General features: G+C 37.8%; 1 protein-coding gene across 19 annotated transcripts in view; it reads left to right on the plus strand.

The window, feature by feature from the left end:
* The window catches only part of FOCAD (focadhesin), a 340,326-nt gene that overhangs the window by 93,619 nt on the left and 228,320 nt on the right, over positions 1-18,387 (plus strand). For 18 of the 19 annotated variants that reach the window (XM_047423537.1, XM_047423539.1, NM_017794.5 and 15 more), the window contains 2 exons: positions 8,847-8,948; positions 15,626-15,830. In XM_047423537.1, the coding sequence (XP_047279493.1) occupies positions 8,847-8,948; positions 15,626-15,830 (307 nt within the window). Of the gene's footprint in view, positions 1-6,679; positions 6,857-8,846; positions 8,949-15,625; positions 15,831-18,387 lie in introns of those variants that run through there. The other variant, XM_017014859.2, reaches the window with a different exon arrangement.

Consider the following 18,387-nt stretch of genomic DNA (forward strand, 5'->3'; position numbering starts at 1 on the left):
ACAGAAAGGAATCTTATGCTGTCTCTGCCTTATAGACTCAAAGAAAAGGTGTTGTGACTCAAAAATGACAAAATTAAAGTTGCTTTGCTCGAAGTCTTTCTAGGAGCTTATGTGGGAAGGATAAAGATGCATTTGTCTTAAAATTGTGTTGTAGGATATATAGAAATTCACAATTATTGTTTAGTTTTTCCTTTTGAATTATTATTTCTTCTTTATAGTGATATTCATGGTGGAATCTTCATAATTTTTCGTTATGCATCTTCTAACTTAAAATCTGCAGATTAAAAAAATCTCTTTTTAGCTTCTAACCAGCAGTTTCAAATAAAAATTCAGAGCAGGTAGAGAAATGCTTTTAAAATGCATATTTGATGTAGTAAGTGCTATGCTATGCTTCTGAAAGCACCAGGGTCACAGCTGCATACATGAAAATGCATGGTGACTGCAGGCATTGTTTCCTCACACAGAAAAGGCAATCTGTGTCTGTCGCTGAATTTATGATGTAAATCAAATCATAGCTTTCCTATATTCAGAGATGTAGCAAGAAGGTTGAGGTGACCTAAAGGTTACAAATAACTTTTGCTTTTTGATTTGCCTATCACAGACTATTTTTTTTAACCCCCTCATTTCTATTAGGATTGATGTGTTTATACTTGGAAAGGTGAATCCAGTTACAGATTTTATCATTGCCTCTGTGCTAGTCTGGGGGAACCATGCATTTATCATTCACTCCTTCCTCACTCCATTCTGTTAGGATGCATGTACTGTACTGCTCTGTGCTGTTGATGATATTAATAAAGAGTGGGAACACTGAAATATTAGGTACCAACTCTGTGTGCTTCCTCTGCTTTTTTCTTCTCTGAACAGTGTTGACTTTGGGACAATGTGCTAGAGGGACTGTGTTAAATTGGCTTCCCATGATCCTGTTTATTCTGTCATTTGCAACAACATGAATCAACCAGTTTAAGAGTTTAAAAAGGTGATTTGGGGAAAGTGTGTATGTGATAATTACGTTTATTGTAGATAGGCATTTGGCACTGAAAGGGAAACAAAAAGATTAAGAAGACACATACCCAGCTTTCATGCTGCTTATGCTATAATTTAATAAACAAACCTATCTTGATGATAATCATAATTGTACCCACTTATGTAGTTCTTCTATTTGCTAGATATTATATTAAATGCTTTACTTAAAATAGCAATTAAAATATTTGCAAATCACGAAATGGGGAAGTGCCAAAGGAGGTACAACAAATTGGATCATCTATTGCAGAAAAACAACAACAAAAAATGCACACAGTGAAGGAGACATTAGAGGCACTAGAGACCAATGAAGGGTGACCTGACTGCCTGGTTTGTATTGATCTTGATATTTAGAAATAATACAATTCTCTATTAAGGAGAAAGCAGAATCTATTGGCTATCTCAGGAGTTAGGAAATTCAGATTAAAAAATTTCTGTGGGCTCTTCCTGGACATAACACTTCCTTCTGAAATAAAAAAATATAGGGTGATTTATCTCTGAGCTAAAAATAGAAGTCCTTTTTTTTGAGGACTTAGATTTTATTAGACATTGGGCTTAGAGCCATTTAAGCTTGGCATAGAATTATTAGTAGCTGAGAGCTGCCACCTTTAATACTTTTTGCCTTTACAGGGTTTGTTTGCATCTGTAGTCCTGAGCAGTCTTAAGGTTAGGGTTTTAATGGGTGGCTTGGGTTATACAGTATTCGCTCTGGAAAGTATTTAGTCTGATCGCCTTATTTTATTATTGGTGAAGAAACTTTGGCCAAGAGAGGTTAATTCTCTTGCTTGAGATCACTTGATTTGTGGCAGAGCCAGGATGTAAATTTGGAACTTTTGATTCTTTTAATTCAGTTCTTTTCCCTCACAATTTTATCTCACCTCTCCACTTCCATTTTTTTTTTTAATTATTGTTATACTTTAAGTTTTAGGGTACATATGCACAATGTGCAGGTTAGTTACATATGTATACCTGTGCCATGCTGGTGCGCTGCACCCACTAACTCGTCATCTAGCATTAGGTATATCTCCCAGTGCTATCCCTCCCCCCTCCCCCCACCCCACAACAGTCCCCAGAGTGTGATGTTCCCCTTCCTGTGTCCATGTGTTCTCATTGTTCAATTCCCACCTATGAGTGAGAATATGCAGTGTTTGGTTTTTTGTTCTTGCAATAGTTTACTGAGAATGATGATTTCCAATTTCATCCATGTCCCTACAGACATGAACTCATCATTTTTTATGGCTGCATAGTATTCCATGGTGTATATGTGCCACATTTTCTTAATCCAGTCTATCATTGTTGGACATTTGGGTTGGTTCCAAGTCTTTGCTATTGTGAATAGTGCTGCAATAAACATATGTGTGCCTGTGTCTTTATAGCAGCATGATTTATAGTCCTTTGGGTATATACCCAGTAATGGGATGACTGGGTCAAATGGTATTTCTAGTTCTAGATCCCTGAGGAATTGCCACACTGACTTCCACAATGGTTGAACTAGTTTACAGTCCCACCAACAGTGTAAAAGTGTTCCTATTACTCCACATCCTCTCCAGCACCTGTTGTTTCCTGACTTTTTAATGATTGCCATTCTAACTGGTGTGAGATGGTATCTCATTGTGGTTTTGATTTGCATTTCTCTAAGGGCCAGTGATGGTGAGCATTTTTTCATGTGTTTTTTGGCTGCATAAATGTTGTCTTTTGAGAAGTGTCTGTTCATGTCCTTCGCCCACTTTTTGATGGGGTTGTTTGTTTTTTTCTTGTAAATTTGTTTGAGTTCATTGTAGATTCTGGATATTAGCCCTTTGTCAGATGAGTAGGTTGTGAAAATTTTCTCCCATTTTGTAGGTTGCCTGTTCACTCTGATGGTAGTTTCTTTTGCTGTGCAGAAGCTCTTTAGTTTAATTAGATCCCATTTGTCAATTTTGGCTTTTGTTGCCATTGCTTCCAGTGTTTTAGACATGAAGTCCTTGCCCATGCCTATGTCCTGAATGGTAATGCCTAGGTTTTCTTCTAGGGTTTTTATGGTTTTAGGTCTAACGTTTAAGTCTTTAATCCATCTTGAATTGATTTTTGTATAAGGTGTAAGGAAGGGATCCAGTTTCAGCTTTCTCCATATGGCTAGCCAGTTTTCCCAGCACCATTTATTAAATAGGGAATCCTTTCCCCATTGCTTGTTTTTCTCAGGTTTGCCAAAGATCAGATAGTTGTAGATATGCGGCGTTATTTCTGAGAGCTCTGTTCTGTTCCATTGATCTATATCTCTGTTTTGGTACCAGTACCATGCTGTTTTGGTTACTGTAGCCTTGTATTATAGTTTGAAGTCAGGTGGTGTGATGCCTCCAGCTTTGTTCTTTTGGCTTAGGATTGACTCGGCGATGCGGGCTCTATTTTGGTTCCATATGAACTTTAAAGTAGTTTTTTCCAATTCTGTGAAGAAAGTCATTGGTAGCTTGCTGGGGATGGCATTGAATGTGTAAATTACCTTGGGCAGTATGGCCATTTTCACGATATTGATTCTTCCTACCCATGAGCATGGAAAGTTCTTCCATTTGTTTGTATCCTCTTTTATTTCCTTGAGCAGTGGTTTGTAGTTCTCCTTGAAGAGGTCCTTCACATCCCTTGTAAGCTGGATTCCTAGGTATTTTATTCTCTTTGAAGCAATTGGGAATGGGAGTTCACTCATGATTTGGCTCTCTGTTTGTCTGTTGTTGGTGTATAAGAATGCTTGTGATTTTTGTACATTGATTTTGTATCCTGAGACTTTGCTGAAGTTGCTTATCAGCTTAAGGAGATTTTGGGCTGAGTCAATGGGGTTTTCTAGATATACAATCATGTTGTCTGCAAACAGGGACAATTTGACTTCCTCTTTTCCTAACTGAATACTCTTTATTTCCTCCTCCTGCCTAATTGCCCTGGCCAGAACTTCCAACACTATGTTGAATAGGAGTGGTGAGAGAGGGCATCCCTGTCTTGTGCCAGTTTTCAAAGGGAATGCTTCCAGTTTTTGCCCATTCAGTATGATATTGGCTATGGGTTTGTCATAGATAGCTCTTATTATTTTGAAATACGTCCCATCAATACCTAATTTATTGAGAGTTTTTAGCATGAAGGGTTGTTGAATTTTGTCAAAGGCCTTTTCTGCATCTATTGAGATAATCATGTGGTTTTTGTCTTTGGTTCTGTTTATATGCTGGATTACATTTATTGATTTGCGTATATTGAACCAGCCTTTCATCCCAGGGATGAAGCCCACTTGATCATGGTGGATAAGCTTTTTGATGTGCTGCTGGATTCGGTTTGCCAGTATTTTATTGAGGATTTTTGCATCAATGTTCATCAAGGATATTGGTCTAAAATTGTCTTTTTTGGTTGTGTCTCTGCCCGGCTTTGGTATCAGGATGATGCTGGCCTCATAAAATGAGTTAGGGAGGATTCCCTCTTTTCCACTTCTATTTTCTTCTGAGATATGGACATGGCTACATAACAGTAAATGATTATGATAGTGTTCTGTAGCCACTGCATATATTAATATAAATAATAATAACGATGATAATGTGCAGTGTTTGTGTTTATTTTTTCAAAACTTGTATAGGTTATTGTCTGCTACTGTTAGATTTATTTACAAGTGATCGGGCTGATTCATCAGCCCATCTATCCTTTTGAATAAAGTGTTGTTAGGCAACTTAGTATTCATAACTTGAATAGCTGGTTTGGGGATAATTAGAAATTTGAGGCATGACTCAGGTTGTGTTTTGGCGTTCTTTGTACCACATTCTTCCCTTTTTTGATCAGTAATGCTTCCAATTTAAAGTTGTTAACTTGACTCAGTTAAATTGTGGATCCTTTCATTTACCTTGACCTTTCTCAGTTGGATGTACTTGAAAAAATGGAAAGGCTAACAAGCAGTGGGTGAGAGGAAGAAAGTAAAGAAAAATCTTGAGTAATCCATAAATGTAATAATCAACTCTTGAATACAGCAAGACTGAGCAATACTTAGCCTTATGGAATTTTAAATGCTTTAATTATAATTTTTTAAGTAGGAAAATAACTTCATTTTCTATCATACCCAAATTAGCATGAATATTCTTTAATGCCTTTTATTCTATGTTTTCCAAAGGAATAATTTTACATTTGTTTTCCATTTTAAGCCTTCTAGTTTCTAGTGTGTTCTGTTACTCTTGTGCATCCAGTTTGATAACTATATTTCCATAAGAAAATCACAACTCTGATCTTGATCGATTAACTACTTTTCATTCAGTGTTAGGAAAGGTGAAACTGGAAGCATAGTGTTTTTTTTTTTTAACAATTTGGGACTGGTGCAATGCTTTCTTCGGTGATGTGCCTTCCATAGTGCTTGTCATTTACTCAATGGAGTGATTCTTGACCAGGAGCAATTTTGTCCTCCAGGGGATATTTGGCAATGTCTGGAGACAATTTTGATTGTCATGACTAGGAGAAATCCTACTTGTATCTAGTGGGTGGAGGCCAGGGATGCTGCCAAGCATTCCATTGTGCATAGGACAACCCACACAATAAAGAGTTATGTGGCCCAAAATGTCAGTAGTGGTAAGACTGAGAAACTCTCATGCATGGGCAGTTGTGCAATGAAGTTTATTGAATTAAAAAATACATCCATTATATTACGTGAGCCTAAGGCTTTATGGATTATTTTATATATGTATTACACACCAATTTGATGACTCTTAAGGGAGAATTTAGCTGTTTGCTTCATTATGATTAAAGTATTAAAATTGTGGCAGTTATAATTGATTATAGGTTAGTATACTTAGTTGAAATGGTATGTTAGTAATCAAATGCTGATCAACAGGAAGATTCAGTGTTCTCCTCTTATACTTCCCTTTTCCCTCAAGCTTTTCAGCTTCTTAGAATCAATACTGTGTATCATCACCTGCAATATTGCCACTCAGTTCTGACATAATCAATTATTTGGAAAACTTAATTATCCAGATGTCTAAATCAGTAATTAATCTTTATGATCCCTATCCTACTATATTCTACTTAATCTCATTTTTTGAATTTAGGTCTGAGATACTAAATAAAATCTGCTGAATCCAATAGCTAGCAAAACAGGCCTTCAGCATCATGCAACAAAGCTGGAGTGGCTCCCTCGGTATGCATAAATGTAAATTAGAATTGTTTGCCACATATACATCACTTTTAATCTCATTTTATACTATTTTTTATTTCTGTTGACCTGATTCAATTTGGACAAAACTGAGTATTTTAAAAAGGAGATAGATTCTTAGCGGTTTTTTTTGGTGGGGTGTGAAGGATGGAAGGGAGATGACTTATAAAGGAAGAATATTGAAAAGCACTTCGGTGCCTTATGACCATACAAAAACTGTGTGATAACTTGTTGAGTTTTCTTTTTAAATATTTATAAGTGCCACCATTATCTGGAAGATTAATGGATGATTATATCTGATACTCTTTATAGCGATATGGTTCTTATCAGAAGAACCCAAAGCTGCTGAAATAATTGTAGGTGCTATTTCTGCTGTTTCTTCCTTTTTATGTAGTGAGTGTTTTTTTGTTTGTTTGTTTGTTCCTTTGTTTTTGGTAGAGACTGGGTCCTGCTATGTTGCTCAGGCTGATGTCAAATCCCTGGCCTCCAGCAATTCTCCAGCCTTGGCCTCCCAAAGTGCTGGGATTACAGGTGTGAATCACTGCTACTGGCCTGTTTTGTGGTTTTAATTGAACACGACCTGCTGAACTTTCAATCTAAGAATTTCATCTGATACTACATACCTGAGAGGCTTTTAGAATTTGTAATATTTTTCTTAGTATTTGTGGCAACCAAAGTGGAAGCAAATTCTAGGTAGGTTTAACTGCCAAAGGGTTTGGAATTGGGAAACATGAATGATTTTGATACGATTTCTGAGTTTTGGCATAAAAAGTTGCTTGGAGTGATCCCTTAGCAATGGTAGCATTCCCGTCAGTCAGAAATAGCCTGTGCTTTAGCAAGCAGGAGGCTGCCAGCATGTGAAGTTAGTTAGTACATGATAGGTTAGGTGAGGTTAAGAAGAAATAGATAGTGTTATACCCACAAACTGTGTGGTAGTGTCAGAGAGGTGTTTCACATGTGTTTCAATGTGATAGATCTAATGTACTCTTCTGTTTTTAAAAGAGAAAAAAAAATAGTACATTTCCCACCCCCAACACCCGTGCAGTAGTTTTTACTTGTAGCAGTTCTGAATCCTGGTAACATATTAAAATTACCTGTAGAATTTTAAAAAATTGCTAGGGGACAAACTTCATTCCTAGCAGTCTAAGATAACAGACCTGGGCATTAGTATTAAGGGCTCTACAGCTAATCTAACTTGCAACCAAGAATAGGAACCACTGCTTTATAGCAGTGCATCAGAATTTCCTGCAGGGCTATTTATTAGGTCTGGGCTAGGGCTTGAGAATTTGCATTTCTAACAAGTTCCCAGTTGATCTTACTAGTAAGGCATCACATTTTGAGAATCACCATGAAGGCAATCTTAAAAAATCATCTGAGTGTAACTGATGGTCTGATTGTTACTCTTTTTTGAAAAATCATTGCTGGAGATATATTAAAATTAAAGACTAGCTCCGTGTATGTGGTTCCTTTTATGCTAAAAAGATTGATATTTCTGTATTGTTTGCATGTTTTTACAATGAGCATTTTAATGTTTTTTTTTGAGATGGAGTTTTGCTCTTGTTGCCCAGGCTGGAGTGCAATAGCATAATATCAGTTCACCGCAACCTCCGCCTCCCAAGTTTAAGTGATTCACCTTCCTCAGCCTCCTGAGTAGCTGGGATTACAGGCATGCGCCACCATTCCCGGCTAATTTTGTATTTTTAGTAGAGACAGGGTTTCTCCATGTTGGTCAGGCTGGTCTCGAACTCCCAACCTCAGGTGATCCACCCATCTTGGCCTCCCAAAGTGCTGGGATTACAGGCGTGAGCCACCGCGTCCAGCCTTAAATCTTATTTAAATATTTTCTTGGAGGAAAAAGCCACATAAATAATAGCTAAAAATTGTATAGTACTTAATAGTTTAAAAAGCTGACCAATTTACAATTATTAGTAGAGTAGCCTTTTTGAACTATTTAAAATAACTCATGGTTGTACTTTTTGTTTTTTTTTGGGGTTAAACCCCATTCTTTGAGAATCCTTCAAATTTCAGATTTTATGTTTTATATAGTCTCTTTAGGTATCTTAATAGAAGTAGCTCAAATAAACGGATTCATCTGCATTCAACAGAAATTTTATGCATCTTCAGTTTGGATAGTTGTTAAGATGGAAGGAATATTTCCTTTTTTCTATTCTTAAATATGCTGGGGAAGCGCAGAACCATACAATGGGAATAATGAAGTACCTGGAAACAGAGAGGGAGAGACAGAGCTTATGGGTTCGGGTAAGGTTGGAGGAAATGGAACTTACCAGGCTTGGAAAGAGAGCAGCGGTAGCAGGAGGAGGAGGTGGCTTGTAACCTCTAGGAATGAAGGATCAAGGGGATGGATATGAGAGAGCTGCTGGATTCAGGAGCTTGGCCAAAGTCACAGAACTGTTAAATGGAAGAGTCCATTCCCAGATTTGGATCTCTGAGGCTCCTGTGTCCATTTTGTTTTCTGCAAAAATGTTAGGAAAAGGCAGGGGGGAGAGTCAGTTCTGATGAACCAACTCTGCAACAAATGGAGCAAGTGATCATTTTGTGACAATTATGAATCGTGAAAAAAGTCTCTAGATGGTAGGTACTGGCTTCTTTGCTGCTATATTTGGATATTGAAAATGTGTAGTCCTGAATAACAGGTTCCCATGTGACTTTCTGTGTCTTTCAGAAATCATCCTCATCCTTTGATAACTGTGCTTGAACACAGACCTGATTGCTGGCCAGTGTTTTTGCAGCAGCTGACAGCGTTTTTCCAGCAGTGCCCTGAAAGGTAATGTAAAATAAAAGTGTAAAATAAAGTGAGGGAGACAGAATGGTATATGCTAATTTTAGAGCTAGGGTTTTTTTTTGTTTGTTTGTTTCTTTTTAGCTGCTTTGATCTATAATGTTTTCTCCTGAAGAACCATCCTAGAGCAGGTTGTAGTTTTCTTTTCTTTTTAAATTTAATTTTATTATTATTATACTTTAAGTTTTAGGGTACATGTGCACAATGTGCAGGTAGGTTACATATGTATACATGTGCCATGCTGGTGTGCTGCACCCATTAACTCGTCATTTAGCATTAGGTATATCTCCTAATGCTATCCCTCCCCCCTCCCCCAACCCCACAACAGTCCCCAGATTGTGATGTTCCCCTTCCTGTGTCCATGTGTTCTCATTGTTCAATTCCCACCTATAAGTGAGACTATGCGGTGTTTGGTTTTTTGTTCTTGTGATAGTTTACTGAGAATGATGATTTCCAGTTACATTCATGTCCCTACAAAGGACCTGAACTCATCATTTTTTATGGCTGCATAGTATTCCATGGTGTATATGTGCCAACATAGTGTTGGAAGTTCTGGCCAGGGCAATTAGGCAGGAGAAGGAAATAAAGGGTATTCAATTATGAAAAGAGGAAGTCAAATTGTCCCTGTTTGCAGATGACATGATTGTATATCTAGAAAACCCCACTGACTCAGCCCAAAATCTCCTTAAGCTGATAAGCAACTTCAGCAAAGTCTCAGGATACAAACTCAATGTACAAAAATCACAAGCATTCTTATACACCAATAACAGACAAACAGAGAGCCAAATCATGAGTGAACTCCCATTCACAATTGCTTCAAAGAGAATAAAATACCTAGGAATCCAACTTACAAGGGATATGAAGGACCTCTTCAAGGAGAACTACAAACCACTGCTCAATGAAATAAAAGAGGATACAAACAAATGGAAGAACATTCCATGCTCATGGGTAGGAAGAATCAATATCATGAAAATGGCCATACTGCCCAAGGCCATTAAAAACTACTTTAAAGTTCATATGGAACCAAAAAAGAGCCCGCATTGCCAAGTCAATCCTAAGCCAAAAGAACAAAGCTGGAGGCATCACACTACCTGACTTCAAACTATACTACAAGGCTACAGTCACCAAAACAGCATGGTACTGGTACCAAAACAGAGATATAGATCAATGGAACAGAACAGAGCCTTCAGAAATAACGCCGCATATCTACAACTATCTGATCTTTGACAAACCTGAGAAAAACAAGCAATGGGGAAAGGATTCCCTATTTAATAAATGGTGCTGGGAAAACTGGCTAGCCATACGGAGAAAGCTGAAACTGGATCCCTTCCTTACACCTTATACAAAACTTAATTCAAGATGGATTAAAGACTTACATGTTAGACCTAAAACCATAAAAACCGTAGAAGAAAACCTAGGCATTACCATTCAGGACATAGGCATGGGCAAGGACTTCATGTCAGGTTGTAGTTTTCTATTTTCTTTTAAAGAGTAAAAGAAAAAAATCTACCAGATTTATTGGTTGTTGAAATACTGAATATGAGAAAAGCTGTTATTAAGGAAGTTAAGCATTGGTAAGTGGTTAGGAAAGTTGGCTAGAATAATTCAGTAAGCTACTACACAATACATATAGGAGATAAGTTCTTCCCCTTGGACACTGGCTAATGAGTTAGTCTCTCCATTAGAAAACTGCCATTTGAGATAAAGTATTACTGCCAAGTGGGATCAGATAGCCACCATATGTGCAGTTAGTGTACTTTCACCAAGGCCTCCTGATGGCTCTCAAAGCTACTCCCCTTTCTTCTATCCTTACTACCATGACGCTGGTTCAGGGCCTCAATATCTCTTGATGTGGCTCTTGCCACCTGTTCCTAACTGGTGTCTCTGCCTCCAGTCTTGTCCTGGTCAAATCCAGTCTCTAAACATCCCTCAGAAGGATATATCAAGAGAGCAGATCTTACAGTATCATTCCCATGCTTAAGTCTCTGTGGCTGTGGTTTTCAAACTGCACTTGCAGTGCATGGGCTAAGCATGGAGCATGTTCCCACCCCTTTGGCTCTGTTTTCATAGCACTTACTTGTTGATATCTTATGGAAGCTTTCTATGGGAAAACAAAAAGGATTGGTTTCTGAAACAGTTTGAAATTCCCTGGACTATAGGATAAAATCTAATATGTCATAGTAGGCTTAGTATATGATGCAGTTCCAATCTATCTCACCAGCTTTATCTTTTCTTATCTTCATCTCGCAGTTTATGCTTTAGCAGTACAATGACTTGCCTTGTGTTCCACACAGGAAGCAGTGCTGTTTCCTTCTCTCCATGTTTTTACTTACTGGTATCTACTGTACTCTCTTGAATCTTACCCCACTCTCTTTCTGATAAATGTCTTTATTTGAAATCTCTGTTTAGGCATTTTTTTTGCCCTAGGGTCTTTTCTTACTAGAAGCTGTATTAGGTGTGTCTCTTGCATGGTTACATAATACCTTACAGTTGCGACATTATCATAATTACTCTCCTGTATTAACTGTGAAATCTTGAGGGCAGGGACTGTGTTTCATTATTCTCTGTATTAGTGATGCTTGGCACATTTCTAGGTGCTTTATAAATGTTGAATTTCTTTAAATGAGGTTGCAGTGAGCGGAGATTGTACCACTGCACTTCAGCCTGGGTGACAGGTTGTTAATGAGTATATGAGTAGCGATTCACAACTATGGGAAGAAAGCAAAATGTTGTAAGGATAGCTAGCTATTTATGTTCATTTTAATATTATGTATATGTCCTAAAATGACAATATATCTTCATGCTAGATTTTTTGGGGGGGGGCGTTACAATTATTATTATTTTTAAGAGATTGGGAGTCTGCTGTGTTGCCCAGGCTGAACATGAACTCCTGGGCTCAAGTGATCCTCCTGTCTCAGCCTTCTGAGTAGCTGGGACTATAGGCATGCACCTCTGCACACAGTATTTGGGTATTATTTTATAATTAAGTTCTGCATTCATTTATTGAAGGCCTATGACTTTAACCTTTCAGGAACTGAGAATTTGAGAATGGTGCAAATTGATAATATCATGGATTTTAGGCTGGGTTACTTTAAGATTATCTAGTCTAACATAATTTTTCAGATGAGAGAACCGAGGAGAGCAACATTAAACGACTTACTGAAGGTTTCTTGGCTAGCTAGTGGTGGAGTTGGGCCTAAAGCCTCCGTTATTTTTATTTTTATTTTTTTTTGTGGCAGAGTCTCACTCTGTTGCCCAGGCTGGAGTGCAGTGGTGCAATCTCGGCTCATTGCAACCTCTGCCTCACGGGTTCACGCCATTCTTCTGCCTCAGCCTCCTGGGTAGCTGGGACTACAGGTGCCCGCCACCATGCCTGGCTAATTTTTTGTATTTTTAGTAGAGATGAGGTTTCACTGTGTTAGCTAGGATGGTCTCAATATCCTGACCTCATGATCCACCCGCCTCGGACTCCTAAATTGCTGGGATTACAGGTGTGAGCCACCGTGCCTGGCCCAAGCCTCCATTTTTTTACTCTCTCTCTAGGTCTGTTTTTTTTAGTACTTCTCCCTCTGTGGTGAACTTAAATATAAAAGACTTGTGTGTAGGTACATACATAATTGGTTACATTTGAAAACATTTTAAATCACTTTGGGATTTCAGATTATCTGTTTTTTTAATATTCATTTTTTCCTAAGCCCTGGTAATGTCTTACTCCACCGAAGTGATGATTAATCATCAGATACCACATGCAGAATCTAAAATCAGAACAGATTAAGCCAAGGGGATTTTTAAATAGTATATTGTCCTTAAGGAAGTTCAACGTTTGCTCCTGATGTCAAATCATAATGGCATCTTGGAAATGTATTTCTTTATATGAACCTTACATTTCACCTTCAGCATCTCAAAGTAGAAGAAAACCGATAAGCCATCCATGGATGCTGTTGACACCCGGATAGTATTTATTCTTTGGGGAATACATTATTAAAGAGAGATGGAGAAGGAAGTTTCTTAAATCTCTTTTCTGGGAACTTTCACTTTGTATTTCATACATACATTATCTGATTCCTTCATCTATCTTTTTTTAGTTTCCGAAAGTAGAAGGTGTGATAAAGATATATGTTTCAGTAATAATTTTGAAGTGAAAAGTCCTTTTGATTTTTATAGATTGTATAAGTATTTGAGCTTATGATAAAAAAATTTCTTCAGACTGTGAGCTCTATGAGAGCAGGAACTTAATCTATTTTTATTTCTTGTTTTGTTTCCATCATGTAGATGAGTGAGGTATACTGTAGGTGATCAGTAAATTTTACCAAGTGAATAAATTAATGAATGAATAAAATTTAATTGGCTTGGTAACTTTTACATTTTTATTAATCTTAATGGCATTTTGAAATCACATTGCTATGAAATGTATGGTATTGTAAGACTATGTTGTCAAGTGTTATTTATTTTATTATAATTAAAAAGAATTCCCTTTTATTTTAGATTCAGGGGTGTATGTGCAGATCTGTTGGAAGGGTATATTGTGTAGTGCTGAGGTTTGGCCTTTTATTGATTCTGTCACCCCGTAGTGAACAAAGTGCCTAACAGGAAAATTTTCAGCCCTTGCCCCTCCTTCCCACCCTCTGTTTGGAGTCCCTTGTGTCTGTTGTTCCCACCTTCATGTCTGTGTGAACCCAAGGTTTAGCTCCCACTCTTAAATGAGAACGGTCAAGCATAATTTAAATACCGTTTCTTCCGTGAAGCAATTGCACTTTATACCTTTCTTTTGGCAGTTGTCACTTTCTATCATCTAGTTCAGGATCATAACTGATTGTCTCTGTCAGACTGTATGCTTCTTGAGGATAGATAATTCTTATTTCATCTTTGTATCTTATCTAATCATTCCTTATATATAAGAATGTGAAAAACATTAGAAAATAAAGTCATGACATTTAATTGCATGCTCATTATAAAACTACTCTGTAACTTAGTGTAACTGAATTAATTAAATGATTGAGCATCTCTTTGAAGGCCTAGTATGTACAGTTATTGGTGATAATAGCAGTAAACAGAAATCCGTGGCCTCATTTGGTTTATAGTCTGGCAGGGGGATACAGATATTAAGTATGTAATAATAACAGCTTGTAATCTCAGCTACTTGGGAGACTGAGGCAGGAGGATTGCTTGAGCCTAGAAATTCAAGGCTGAAGTGCACTATTATTGTGCCTGTGAATAGCCATTGCACTCTAGCCTGGGCAATGTAGCAAGACACTGTCTCTTAAAAAAATGTAATGGCAATAAAGGCATTGTATCTTAAAAGCACATCTGATGTGATCTGATCAAGGTGAAGTGTCAAGGAAGGACCTGAGAAAGTCATTTTAAAGCAGATAACTGAAGGATGATAGAAGCTAGGTAGGGAGAAGGAATAGGACGGGTAGAAGGGGAGAATATTACAGGTAGAGGGAATAGCAAGTGAGAAGAAAGCCCAGATGGCTTGATAAAGACCTGAAAGGAGTTTAGTGTGGTTTAGTGGTGAATGAAGAGCAAGAAATGAAGCTGGAAAGATAAACAGAGGCCAAATGATGGAGGGTGTGTGTGAATTGGGCTAGATACTGTTTAGGCTAGTTAATGACATGACCATATTTTTATTTTTGATGATCATTCCGGTGTTTTAGTGAATTTGGACTAGGAGTTTTCAGGATATAGTGAAATCTAAATAGATACAAAAGATTTGTAGGGTGGGAAGTGCTTAAGAAGACCTTGACAAATTATTTCACCTCTCTCTCCTTCAGTTTCTTTATCCGTGTTATAAGGATAATATTATTTTTTATTTCATAGGGTTGTGGTGAGGATTAAATGGATTTAAAGACATAACATGCAGTAACTTGAACACTGTAAGGGTTAACAGGTTAACAAGTAAATGTTAACTGTCATCATAATCATCTTGGGATGTTTGTCTGGATTTCTTTTATGTAGATCCTCACCTGTAGAGTTTTTCCAAAAATTCATGTTTGTGTCATACTCCTGGAGAGGTGATCCTGACATCTGTAATTCTAGAAAGGTTGTCAGGTGATCCTTTTTTTTAAGATGGAGTCTCGCTCTGTTGCCAGGCTGGAGTGCAGTGGAGCAATCTTGGCTCACTGCAACCTCTGCCTCCTGGGTTCAGGCGATTCTCCTGCCTCAGCCTCCTGAGTAGCTGGGACTACAGGTGCATGCCACCACGCCCAGCTAATTTTTGTATTTTTAGTAGAGACAGTGTTTCACCATGTTGGCCAGGATGGTCTCTATCTCCTGACCTCATGATCTGCCTGCCTCGGCCTCCCAAAGTGCTGGGATTTTTATAGGCGTGAGCCTCCGTGCCCAGCCCAGATGATTCTTGTGTTCACTAAACACTGATTTCAGAGATGTAGTTGCTATTCTAATGTGCAAATAGAGACTGTCTTCATCCTGGGCATCTAGCTTACAGTCTCCAGGTGTTGAATAATTTTCCTCAGTGTACAAAGAACTGTTTGGCATAGATGTAGGCAGGTCATAGCGGAATAGAAGAATCATAAAAAGAAGTTACACTTGATGATATGGTAGATTATGTTATGTCATGAACTATAAGTTGATATTTGCCACTTACCTGCTTGATAGTGTGTTTAACTCAATAACTGGCTAATGTATTTCATGTCTTATAGGTTAGAAGTTTCATGCATTCAAATAATGGCACCATTTCTGTGGTATCTGTATTGTGAACCATCTCAGTTACAAGAATATGCTAAACTCCGACTAGCCCTGCTGAAAGTCTTACTTCAACCCCAGGTTCTTTGTGACAAAGATCAACCATCAATACTGGAACAGCAGATACTTCAACTGTGTTGTGACATAGTTCCATGTTTGCAGGTAAGGTCTTTGTCCTCCTCCACAAATATAGGTCAGCATCAGTAAGTGTTGTTATTGTCATAGACAAAGTAGTTCTAGAACATAAGTGATTTGGCAAACTCAGACATGATCCTCGCTCTAGAAATGCTTACAATCTTTTGGGGAAGATGAAAGAAACAAAATCTAGATTTAATATGAATATATTATATTCGATATTAACTAAATACACAGAAATTATAAATCGACATAGTCCATTCTGGGAATAGCAAGCATGAAAACTTTCCTTTGTTTAAGAAACAGTTATCAGGTAAAAGATTTTGAGTTGAGTTTCTTCTGTGTAGACATTGGGACAGTAACAAGGAAAAAAAAGACCTCTGTGCACATTGGAAAAAAAAAAAAGATGTGTCTCAGAGCATAAATAGCTCTGAGGATGCAAAGCCTGGCCAGCTGAGTGCCAGCTAGATTCCAGCTTCCACATGTCCCCTTGCAACATATGCAGCAGCTCTCAGGGATCCTGCTCTTGAGAAGCACACATGTAGTAAATGAGTTAGGACAAGTACTGTACATATATTCTTACAATTCAAAGTAGAAAGATGAAAGGTGGTTAACAGAGGTATGGATAAAACACGGACACAGTTCAGGGGAAAGAGAAATTTGAGTCATTGTCTCTATAACTGCATATGAAAAAAAATCCAGTTGCCCAGGTGTTGTGATTTTAGTGTAGTGATTCATTTATCAGTCCATCTCTTCCCATCATCTAGGTTTGCTATTTGCCTGGAATCGCAGCACCATGCTGCTTAGCTGATGGAGGGAATCTGTGAACATATTTCAAAACGATCACTTGAGGTCACACATGACCTGCTTTAAGTTTGTGTTAGCAGGGAGTGACTTGAGTAAATCTTTCCTCTGCGACTTATAAATAGGCTTTCCTGTAATCAAGGCAGAGAAAATTTAATTAAAATGAATTCTCCTGTGGCTTTTCCAAAGCTTTTGTTTTGTGTGGGCAATAAAGCAATGTATAGGCAGAACATCTTGAACTAGGGTACATTTTTCACGTCATGGCTGCATTACCCTGTTCTGTGCTCCTTGGCAAAGGTTTGTCTTCATCTTATGAACCTGTGTTGACAGGCTTAAATGCTTTTAGAAATGAGCTCGGTGGAATATTTCTGGGAATCTGTGGCTTTTTAACCTAACAGTTATGTAAGAAAAAAGGGGATACATCATTTGGAAGTACTGGAACTAGTGACAGTAGCATACTTAATCAATTTAACAAATCAGCTTTATTAGAATGAAGCGTGTGAGGGTTGGACGTGGTCTTAGAGACAATATAATCCATTTACCACTCAATACAGATGTTTCTTATACTCTCTGAAACATGACTATCTCATGGCTAATTGAATATTTTAGTGATAGAGGAAGCGTACTATTTTGCAAGGCAACCATTTTTTTTAGCAAGTACTTTTTGACCTTCATTTTTCTCATTCATTCATTTCCATTCTTCTCAGAACAAAATGAAATAAGCTTTTAAAAAAACCCCATCTGTATCCTATCTTATTTTTCTCCCTTCTTTCCTTCCCGTTTTTCCTTCCTTCCTTTCCTCCTCACCTCCCTCCCTTCCTTATTTTTTTCTTCACTTTCTTAATCTCTCCATTGCAAATGGTTTCCCAACTTTTCTCTGTTTTGTTTTGCCAGGAATTTTCTAGTTTATTGTTGCTCAAAATATGCTACTATGAAATGATCATCTTAGAGATGACTACAATGCTGTTGATGTGGTCTTTTTTTTTTATTATACTTTAAGTTTTAGGGTACATGTGCACATTGTGCAGGTTAGTTACATATGTATACATGTGCCATGCTGGTGCACTGCACCCACTAACTCGTCATCTAGCATTAGGTATATCTCCCAATGCTATCCCTCCCCTCTCCCCCACCCCACCACAGTCCCCAGAATGTGATATTCCCCTTCCTGTGTCCATGTGATCTCATTGTTCAATTCCCACCTATGAGTGAGAATATGTGGTGTTTGGTTTTTTGTTCTTGCGATAGTTTACTGAGAATGATGATTTCCAATTTCATCCATGTCCCTACAAAGGACATGAACTCATCATTTTTTATGGCTGCATAGTATTCCATGGTGTATATGTGCCACATTTTCTTAATCCAGTCTATCATTTTTGGACATTTGGGTTGGTTCCAAGTCTTTGCTATTGTGAATAATGCCGCAATAAACATACGTGTGCATGTGTCTTTATAGCAGCAAGATTTATAGTCCTTTGGGTATATACCCAGTAATGGGATAGCTGGGTCAAATGGTATTTCTAGTTCTAGATCCCTGAGGAATTGCCACACTGACTTCCACAATGGTTGAACTAGTTTACAGTCCCACCAACAGTGTAAAAGTGTTCCTATTTCTCCACGTCCTCTCCAGCACCTGTTGTTTCCTGACTTTTTAATGATCGCCATTCTAACTGGTGTGAGATGGTATCTCATTGTGGTTTTGATTTGCATTTCTCTGATGGCCAGTGATAATGAGGATTTTTTCATGTGTTTTTTGGCTGCATAAATGTCTTCTTTTGAG

The sequence above is a fragment of the Homo sapiens genome, chromosome 9, assembly GCF_000001405.40.
Source record: "Homo sapiens chromosome 9, GRCh38.p14 Primary Assembly".
In the NCBI taxonomy this organism is placed as follows: Eukaryota; Metazoa; Chordata; class Mammalia; order Primates; family Hominidae; genus Homo; species Homo sapiens.